Source organism: Homo sapiens, chromosome 3 (genome assembly GCF_000001405.40).
Source record: "Homo sapiens chromosome 3, GRCh38.p14 Primary Assembly".
Taxonomy (NCBI): domain Eukaryota; kingdom Metazoa; phylum Chordata; class Mammalia; order Primates; family Hominidae; genus Homo; species Homo sapiens.
Window position 1 is genome coordinate 161,111,704 of NC_000003.12, and position 11,512 is coordinate 161,123,215.

Consider the following 11,512-nt stretch of genomic DNA (forward strand, 5'->3'; position numbering starts at 1 on the left):
AAAAATAATAACATTCTGACATGGTTTGAATCTGTGTTCCTACCAAAATCTCATGTTGAAATGTTATCCCCAATGCTGGAGGTGAGGCCTGGTGGGAGACAACTGGATCATGGGAGTGGTTTCTCATAGCTTAACATCATTGCCCCCTTGGTGCTGTCATTGCAATGAGCTCTCATGAAATCTGGTCATTTAATAGTGTGTGGCACCTCACTCCCCAACGCCCCCACACCTGCCAACACTTCCTCCTGCTCTGGCCATGTGAAGAGTTGGCTTCCCGTTCCTCTTCCACCATGATTGTAAGATTCCTGAGGCCTCCCCAGAAACTGAGTAGATGCTGCCTTGCTTCCTGTACAGCCTGTGGAACCATGAGCCAATTAAACCTCTTTGCTTTATATATTACCCAGTTTTAGGTATTTCTTTATGGCAGTGTGATAACCAACTAATATACTTTTTAAAATTCTTAATTGATCTGACAGATAACAGTTTGTTCAAGATAGTAATAACGTATTTGATTATGTATGTTTGTGTATGGCTATATATAACTGAAATGAATGAAAGCAATGAAACAAGGATAGGATGGAGAAATGAGGATTATTTTGTTATTACAAGGTACTCACACTACCCATGAAGTGGTATAGTGTTATTTGAAAGATGACTTGAACTTGTTTTAAATGTATATTGCAAACTCTAGGGCACCCACTAAAAAAAGTTTTAAAAAATAAATATAACTGCCGGGTGCGGTGGCTCACGCCTGTAATCCCAGAACTTTGAGAGGCTGAGGTCACGAGGTCAGGAGTTTGAGAACAGCCTGACCAACATGGTGAAACCCCGTGTCTACTAAAAATATGAAAATTAGCCAGGCATGGTGGCACACGCCTGTAATCTCAGCTACTCAGGAGGCTGAGGCAGGAGAATCACTTGAACCCAGGAGGCAGAGGTTGCAGTGAGCTGAGTTCGCACCACTGCACTCCAGCCTGGGCGACAGCGAGACTCCATCTCAAAAATAAATAAATAAATAAATATAACTGATATGCTAAGAAAGGAAAGAAGATGGAGTCATATAAAATGCTCAATTAAAAATTACAAAGGGCAGAAAATGTGGAGGGCAAAAGGTAGGAACAAAGAACAAGGGTGATGATATAGTTTGGATATTCATTTCCTTCAAATGTCATGTTGAAATTTGATTCCCAGTGTTGGAGGTGGGGCCTTGTGGGAGGTATTTGGGTCATGGAGGCAGATCACTTATAAATGGCTTGGTGCCATTCCTACAATAATAAGTGAATTCTCAGCTCTGTTCATTCATATGAGAGCTGATTGTTTAAGAGAACATGACATCCCTCTCCTCTCTCACTTGCTCCCTCTCTTGCCATATAATGCCAGCTTCCACTTCCCATTGCCATGATTGGCAGCTTCCTGAAGCCCTAGTCGGAAGCAGATATTGGCACGATGCTTCTTGTACAGCCTGCAGAATTGTGAGCCAAATAAACCTATTTTCTTTATAAATTACCCAGCCTCAGGTATTGTTTTATAGCAATACAAATGACTAAGAGGTGACAAGTAGAAAACTGTAACAAAAATGAGCTGGGAGCAGTGGCTTACACCTGTAATCCCAGCACTTTGGAAGGCTGAAGCCAGAGGGTCACTTGAAGACAGGAGTTTGAGACCAGCCTGGCCAACATGGTAAAACCCCATCTCTACTAAAAATATGAAAATTAGGTGTGGTGGTACACACCTGTAATCCTAGCTACTTGGGTGAGGCAGGAGAATCACTTGAACCCAGGAAGCGAAGGCTGCAGTGAGCCAAGACCACACTACTGTGCTCCAGCTTGGATGACAGCAAAACTCCATCTCAAAAAAATGAAAAAGCACTAATGAATATGGAAGATATTAATCCAACTATATGAATAATCACTTTGAATGTCCATGGTCTAAATGCACCAATTAAAAGACAGACATTGTCCAAGTGAATCAAAAGATAAGACCCAATTATTTTTTACAAAAAATCCATTTTAAATATAAATATATAAATTAAAAGTAGGTGGATAGGGAAAGATATACCATGGTAACACTAATTTTTGAAAGGTAGGGTAGCTACAATAACTTCAGATGGAGCAGACTTCAGAGCAAGGAAGGATATCAAGGATAAACAATGACATTACATAATGATATAGGGATAAATTCTCCAACAAGACATAACAATTCTTTTTTTTTTTTTTTTTTTTTGAGACGGAGTCTTGCACTGTTGCCCAGGCTGGAGTGCAGTGGCAGAATCTCGGCTCACTGCAAGCTCCAACTCCCAGATACACGCCATTCTCCTGCCTCAGCCTCCCGAGTATCTGGGACTACAGTTGCCTGCCACCACTCCTGGCTAATTTTTGTATTTTTAGTAGAGACGGGGTTTCACCATGTTAACCAGGCTGGTCTCGAACTCCTGACCTTGTGATCCACCCGCCTTGGCCTCCCAAAGTGCTGGGAATTCAAGCATGAGTCACCACACCCGGCCAAGACATAACAATTCATAATGTGAATACACTTAAAAACAGAGCATCAAAATATGGGAGACAAAAACTGATAGGATGACAACAAGAAATAGATGAATCTACCATTATAGCTGGAGACGTCCACATTTCTTTAACAGATGTGGACACATTCCGCAGGCAAAAAATCAGACTATAGTGGAACTCAACAACACCATCAATCAACTGGATATAATGGGCATCTATAGACTATCTCATCCAGTAACAGCAGAATACACATTTTTCTTAATCTCACATAGAACATTCTGCAAGATAGGTCACATTCTTGGCCATAAAACACACCATAACCCATTTAAAAGAATAAAAAGCATACAGTGTCTGCCCTCAGACTACAGTGGAATTAAACTAGAAATCAATACCAGAAAGACAGCTGGAGAATCCCCAAATACTTGGAGATTAAACAACATGCTTCGAAATGAAACATGGGTCAAAAAGTAACTCTCAAGATAAATTTTAAAATATTTTCAACTAAATGAAAACAAAAACACAAGTTATCAAACTTCATGGGATGCAATGAAAGTGCTTAAAGGGAAATTTATAGCATTGAATACTTAAAGAAAAAAGATCCAAAAATCAATCATATAAGCTTTCATTTTAGGAAACAAGAAAAAGAAGGCCAAATTAAAATCAGAGAAAGATAAATATTATAGCAAAAATTAATGAATTGAAAATATGAAATCAGTAGAAAAACCAATGAAGCTAAAAGCTGGTTCTTTGAAAAGATCAATAAAATTGATAATTATCTAACCCTGCTAACTGTATTAGGCCATTCTTGCATTACTACAAATAATTAGCTGAGACTAGGTAATTTATAAAGAAAAGAGGTTTAATTGGCTCATGGTTCTGCAGGTTGTACAACCATGTCACTGGCATCTGCTTGGCTTCTGCGGAGGCCTTAGTGAGCTTTTAGTCATGGCAGAAGGCAAAACGATAGCTGGCACATCACAAGGCAAAAGCAGGAGCAAGAGAGGGGTGGAGGAGGTGCCACACACTTTTAAATTACCAGATCTCATGAGAACTCACTCACTGCCTTGTGGACAGCACCAAGCTGTGAGGAATCCACCCTCATGACCCACACACCTCCCATCAGGCCCCACCTCCAACACTGGGGATTACATCTCAACACGAAATTTGGATGAGGACAAATATTCAACCTGTGTCACTAAGAAAAAAGAGGAGACAAAATGCTAATATCAAAAATGAAAAAGGGGACACTAAAGAGCCCAGAGACATTGAAAGGGTAATCAAGAAATATTCTGAACAATTCTAGGTCCACAAATTTGATAACCTAGATGAAATGGAAGAACACTTTGAAAGACAATATTTGCCAAAACTCAAACAAGGAGAAATAGACAATCTGAACCAGCCTATATCTATCAAAAATATTGAGTCAATAATTAATGACCTTGCAAAATAGAAAGAAGCAGGCTTAGATGTGTTCACTGGTGAATTCTACCAAAAATTAAAGGAAACTTCAGAAGATAGAAGCAAGAGCTTCTGGCTAGCTGACCACATGAGGGTTCCTGGAGAGGGGGCATACCCAGGGAAGACAGAGAAATGCCATGCACCCTCCCCCATACGTTACCCCATGTATCACTTCTTCTGTATCCTTTGTAATAAACTTGAAAATTTAAAAAAGAAGAAGATGAAAACAGAGAGAATACTTCTTAACTTATTCTATGAGGCCAGCATTACTCTAATACCAAAACCAGGCAAAGGCATTACAAGAAAAGAAAACTACAGAGATATCTTACATAAACATAAATGCAAATGTCCTCAACAAAATATTATCAAATCAAATCCAACAATGTTAAAAACTATTATACACCACAAGTAAGTGAGATTTATTGTAAGTCTGGTTCAGCATTCAAAAAAAGCAGTGAATATAATCTGTCACATCAAAAGACTAAAGAGGAAAAATCACATGATCATATCAATAGATGCAGAAAAAGCATTCGACAAAATCCTGCATCCATTAATGGATAAAATAACAATAAAGGCTCAGTAAACTGAAATAGTGCAACTTCCTCAACTTGATTTTTAAAAACCTATTAACAAAATCCTGTGAAAATACCAATGAAATTCTTCACGGAAATAGAGAAAACAATTCTAAAATTTATATGAAACATAAAAGACTCAAAATAGCCAAAGCTATTGTAAGTAAAAAGAAAAAACTGGAGGAATCACCTTACCTGATGTCAAATTATGCTACAGTAAAACAGTATGGTACTAGCATAAAAACAGACACCTAGGCCAATGGAACAAAACTGAGAACCCAGAAACAAACCCACACGCCTACCATGAACTCGTTTTTAACAAAGTTGCCAAGAACATACGCTGGGGAAAAGACAATGTCTTCAATAAATGGTGCTGGGAAACTGGATATCCATATGCAGAAGAATGAAACTAGACCCCTGTCTCTTGCCATATATTAAAATAAAAATGGATTGAAAACTTAAATATAAGACCTCAAATTATGAAACTACTACAAGAAAACATTGGAGAAGCTCTCCAGGACATTGGTCTGGGCAAAAATTTCTTGAGCAATACCCCACAAGCACAAGCAACCAAAGCAAAAATGGACAAATGGGATCACATCAAGTTAAAAAGCTTCTGCACAGCAAAGGATACAATCAACAAAGTGAAGACAGCCAACAGGATGGGAAAAAATATTTGCAAACTACTCATCAGGCAAGGGATTAATAACCAGGATATATAAGGAGCTTACACAAGTCTATAGGAAAAAAATCTAGTAATCCAGAAAAATATGGGCAGTAGATTTGAATAGACATTTTTCAAAAGAAGACATACAAATGGAAAACAGGTGTATGAAAATGTGCCCAACATCACTGATCATCAGAGAAATGCAAATCAAAACTACAATGAGATATCATCTCACCCCAGTTAAAATAACTTATATCCAAAAGGCAGGCAATAACAAATGCTGACAAGGATGTAGAGAAAAGGAAACCCCCATACACTGTTGGTGGGAATGTAAATTAGTACAACCACTATGGAGAACAGTTGGAGATTCCTAAAAATAAATAAAAATTGAGTCACCGTATGATCCAGCAATCTCACTGCTGGATATATACTCAAAAGGAAAGAGATATCTGCACTCCTATGTTTGTTGCAGCACTGTCTAAAATAGTAAGATTTGGAAGCAACCTAAGTGTCCATCAACGGATGAATGGATAAAGAAAATGTGGTACATATACACGATGGATTACCATTCAGTCCATGAGGGCCAGGCGCGGTGGCTCTTGCCTGTAATCCCAGCACTTTGGGAGGCCGAGGCGGGCAGATCACTAGGTCAAGAGATAGAAACCATCCTGCCTAACATGGTGAAACCCCATCTCTACTAAAAATGCAGAATTATCTGGACCTGGTGTCATGTGCCTGTAGTCTCAGCTACTTGGGAGGCTGAGGCAGGGGAATCGCTTGAACCCAGGAGGTGGAGGTTGCAGTGAGCCAAGATCCTGCCACTGCACTCCAGCCTGGGAGACAGAGCAAGACTCCGTTAAAAACAAAACAAAACAAAACAAAAAAGGTCCTTTCATTTTGTAACAATATGAATGGAACTGGAAGTCAGGAAGTCATTATGTTAAGTGAGATAAGCCAGCCACAGAAAGACAAACATTGGGTGTTCTCACTTGTCGGATTTTAAAAGTGAAAACAATTGAATACATGGACATAGAGGGTAGAAGGATGGTTACCAGAAGCTGGGAAGGGTAGTGGGGGTCTGGGGGGTAGGTGGGGATAGTTAATGGGTACAAAAGAAAATAGAAAGAATAAATAAGGCCTACTATTTGATAGTACAATGGGGTGACTATCATCAATAATACCTTAATTGTATACTTTAGAGTAACTTAGAGAATGTAATTGGATTGTTTGTAACTCAAAGGATAAATGCTTGAGGGGATGGAAAATAATCTATAAAAAAAACCCTCCTCATCAAAATGCCAATGAAATTCTTTGAAGAAATGGAAAAAAAATCCCCAAATTTATATGGAACCACAAAAGACCCTGAATAGGCAAAGCAACTCTGACCAAAATGGACAAACTGGAAGGATCACACTACCAACTTCAAAATATACTACAAAGCTATAGTAACCAAGTCAGCATGGGACTGGCATAAAAATAGACACATAGACCAATGTAACAAAATAGAGAACCCAGATACAAATCCATGGATTTACTGCTATTAATAACATTTTGACAGTTACCAATAACATACAATGGGGAAAGGACAGTCACATCAATGTGAAAATTCTCAACAAAATACTGGCAAACAGAATCCAACAGCACATCAAAAAGCTTAACCGTCACGATCAAGTCAACTTCATCCCTGGGATGCAAGACTGGTTCAACATATGCAAATCAATAAACATAATCCATCACGTAAACAAAACCAATGACAAAAACCACATGATTATCTCAATAGATGCAGAAAAGGCCTTCGATAAAACTCAATACCCTGTCATGCCAAAACCCTCAATAAAGTAGGTATTGATGGTACATGTCTCAAAAAGAGCTATTTATGACAAATCCACAGCCAATATACTGAATGGGTAAAAGCTGGAAGCATTCCCTTTGAAAACTGGCGCAAGACAAGGATGCCCTCTCTCACCACTCCTATTCAACATAGTATTGAAAGTTCTGGCCAGGGCAATCAGGCAAGAGAAAGAAAGAAAGGGTATTCAATTAGGAAAAGAGGAAGTCAAATTGTCTCTGTTTGCAGATGACATGATTGTCAACTCAAGCCATTGCTTCAGTGGGTGCAAGCCCCAAGCTTTGGTGGCTACTATTTGGTGTTGGGCCTGTGGGTGCGCAAAAGACAACAGTTGAGGTTTGGGAACCTCCACCTAGATGTCACAGGATGTACGGAAACTCCTGGATGTCCAGGCAGAAGTCTATTGCAGGGGTGGAGCCCTCATGGAGAACCTCTACTAGGGCAGTACAGAGGGGAAATGTGGGATTGGAGCCTCCACACAGAGTCCCCACCAGGGCACTGCATAGTGGACCTGTGAGAAGAGGGCCATTATCCTCCAGACCCTAGAATGGTAGATCCACCAACATCTTGCACTATGCACTTGGAAAAGCTGTAGACACTCAAGGCCAGCCCATGAAAGCAGCTGGAGGGGCTGTACCCTGCAGAGCCAGAGGGGTGGAGCTGCCTAAGGCCTTGGGAGCCCACCTCTTGCATCAGCATGCCCTGTATATGAGACATGAAATCAAAGGAGATCATTTCGGAGCTTTAAGATTTAATGGCTACCCTGCTGGGTTTTGGACTTGCATGGGGCCTGTAACCCCTTTGTTTTGGCCAATTTCTCCAATTTGGATTGGGAACATTTACTCAATGTCTGTACCACCATTGTATCTTGGAAGTAACTAACTTGGGAACATTTACTCAATGTCTGTACCACCACTGTATCTTAGAAGTAACTAACTTGTTTTTGATTTTACAGGCTTATAGCCAGAAGAAACTTGCCTTGTCTCAGATGAGACTTTGGACTTGGACTTTTGGGTTAATGCTGGAATGAGTTAAGACTTTGGGAGACTGTTGGAAATGCATGAATGTAAAAAGGACATGAGATTTGGGAGGAGCCACAGGCAAAATGATATGATTTGGCCCTGTGTCCCCACCCAAATCTTATCCTGAATGGTAATCCCCATGTGTTGAGGGAGGGACCTGGTGGGAGGTGATTGGATCATGGGTTTGGTTTCCCCTATGCTGTTCTCATGATAGTGAGTAAGTTCTCAAGAGATCTGATGGTTTAAAAGTGTGACACTTCCCCGCCATTCTCTTTCTCTCCTGCCACCCTGTAAGATGTGCCTTGCTTTCCCTTTGCCTTCTGCCATGACTGTAAGTTTCCTGAGGCTTCCCCAGCCATGTGTAACTGTGAGTCAAGTAAACTTCTTTTCTTAATAAATTACACAGTCTCAGGTAGTTCTTTATAGCAGTGTGAAAACAGACTAATACATTCACTATTGGACGTATATCCAGAGGAAAGGAAATATATTGAAGAGATATCTCCACTCCCATGTTTATTGCAGTATTATTCACAAAAGCCAAAATATGGAATCATCCTAAATGCCATGAATGGAGGAATGGAAAAAGAAAATGGTATATATACAATGAAGTAAAAAGAATGAAATTCTGTTATTTGCAGCAACATGGGTGAAACTGAAGGTCATTATGTTAAGTAAAATGAGCCAAGCTGAGAAAGATAAATATCATGTGTTCTTACATATGTGGGAGCTAAAAAAGTGGATTTCATGAAGATGGAGAGAAGATTGGTGATTACCAGAGACCAGGAGAGGTAGGAGGGAGGGAAATGAAGAGAGGTTGATTAATGGGTACAATTAGATAGAAAAAATAACACTTAGCACTCAGTAGATCAGAAGGGGATTATAGTTAATATTAATCTATGGTACATTTCAAAATAGCTAGAACAGAATAACGTAGATGTTCTTAGCATAGAAGTAATGGATGTCTCAATAACCTTGATTTTTACACTTTATATGAATGTATCAAATAATCATATTTACCCTACAAATATGTTCATCTGTTATTTATCAATAAAAGCCAAATCCTATACTATGTTGAATAGGAGTGGTGATAGAGGACATCCTTGTCTTGTGCCAGTTTTCAAAGGGAATGCTTCTAGCTTTTGCCCATTCAGTATGATATTGGCTGTGGGTTTGTCATAAATAGCTCTTATTATTTTCAGATACATTCCATCAACACCTAGTTTACTGAGTGTTTTTAGCATAAAGGTGTATTGAATTTTATCGAAGGCCTTTTCTGCATCTATTGAGATAATCATGTGTTTTTTGTCAGTGGTTCTGTTTACGTGATGGATTATGTTTATTGATTTGTGTATGTTGAACCAGACTTGCATCCCAGGGAAGAAGCTGACTTGATCATGGTCATTTTAATGTGCTGCTGAGTTTGGTTTGCCAGTATTTTATTAAGGATTTTCACATAAATGTTAATCAGGAATATTGGCCTGAAATTTTCTTCTTTTGTTATGTCTCTGCCAGGTTTTGGTATCAAGATGATGCTGACCTCATAAAATGAGTTAGGGAGAGGTCCCTCTTTTTCTATTGTTTGGAATAGTTTCAGAAGGAATGGTACCAGCTCCTCTTTGTACCTCTGGTAGAATTCGGCTGTGAATCTGTCTAGTCCTGGGCTTTTTTGGTTGGTAGGCTATTAATTACTGTCTCAATTTCAGAGGCAGTAATTAACTGGTCTATTCAAGGATTCCACTTCTTCCTGGCTTAGTCTTGGAAGTGTTTATGTGTCCAGGAATTTATCCATTTATTCTTAGATTTTTCAAGTTTATTTGCAGAGAGGTGTTTATAGTATTCTCTAATGGTAGTTTGTATTTCTGTGGGATTAGTGGTGATATCCTCTATCATTTTTATTGTGTCTATTTGATTCTTCTCTCTTTTCTTTTTTATTAGTCTGGCTAGCAATCTATCTATTTTGTTAATCTTTTGAAAAAACTAGCTCCTGGAAGTTCAGGCTAGGGTAATCAGACAAGAGAAAGAAATAAAGGGTATTCGAATAGGAAGAGAGGAAGTAAAATTATCTCTGTTTGCAGATGACATGATTTTATATTTAGAAAACCCCATCATCTCAGGCCAAAAACTCCTTAAGCTGATAAGCAACTTCACAAAGTCTCAGGATACTTAATCAATCTTATAATCATACTTATAAGAATGCTTGTGCAAAAAGCACAAACATTCTTACACACCAATAATAGACAAGCAGCCAAATCATGAGTGAACTCCCATTCACAAGTGCTACAAAGAGAATAAAGTACCTAGGAATACAACTTACAAAGGATGTGAAGGACCTCTTCAAGGAGAACTACAAACCACTGCTCAAGGAAATAAGAGAGAACACAAACAAATGGAAAAACATTCCATGCTCATGGATAGGAAGAATCAATATCATGAAAATGGCCATACTGCCTAAAGCAATTTATAGATTCAATGCTATTCCCATCATGCTACCATTGACTTTCTTTACAGAATTAGAAAAAACTACCTTAAATTTCATGTGGAACCAAAAAAGGGCCCATATAGCCAAGACAATCCTAAGCAAAAAGAACAAAGCTGGAGGTATCACGCTATCTGACTTCAAGCTATACTACAAGGCTACAGTAACCAAAAGAGCATGGTACTGGTACCAAAACAGATATATAGATTAATGGAACAGAACAGAGCCCTCAGAAATAACACCACACATCTACAACCATCTGATCTTTGACAAACCTGACAAAAAAGCAATGGGGAAAGGATTCCCTATTTAATAAATGGGGTTGGGAAAACTAGCTAGCCAGATGCAGAAAACTGAAAGTGGACCCCTTCTTTATGCCTTATAAAAAATGACTCAAGATGGATTAAAGACTTAAACATAAGAACTAAAAGCATAAAAACCCTAGAAGAAAACCTCGGCAATACCATTCAGGACATAGGCATGGGCAAAGACTTCATGACTAAAACACCAAAAGCAATGGCAACAAAAGCCAAAATTGACAATGGGGTCTAATTAAACTAAAGAGCTTCTGCACAGCAAATGAAACTATCATCAGAGTGAACAGGCAGCCTGCAGAATGGGAGAAAATTTTTTGCAATCTATCCATCTGACAAAGGGGCTAATATCCAGATTCTACAAGGAACTTAAAACAAATTTACAAGAAAAAAACAACCCCACCAAAAAGTGGGCGAAGGATATGAACAGACACTTATCAAAAGAAGACATTTATGCAGCCAACAAAGATGAGAAAAATCTCATCATCACTGGTCATTAGAAAAATGCAAATCAAAACCACAATGAGATACCATCTCATGTCAGTTAGAATGGCAGTCATTAAAAAGTCAGGAAACAACAGATGCTGGAGAGGATGTGGAGAAATAGGAATGCTTTTACACTGTTGGTGGGAGTGTAAATTAGTTCAACT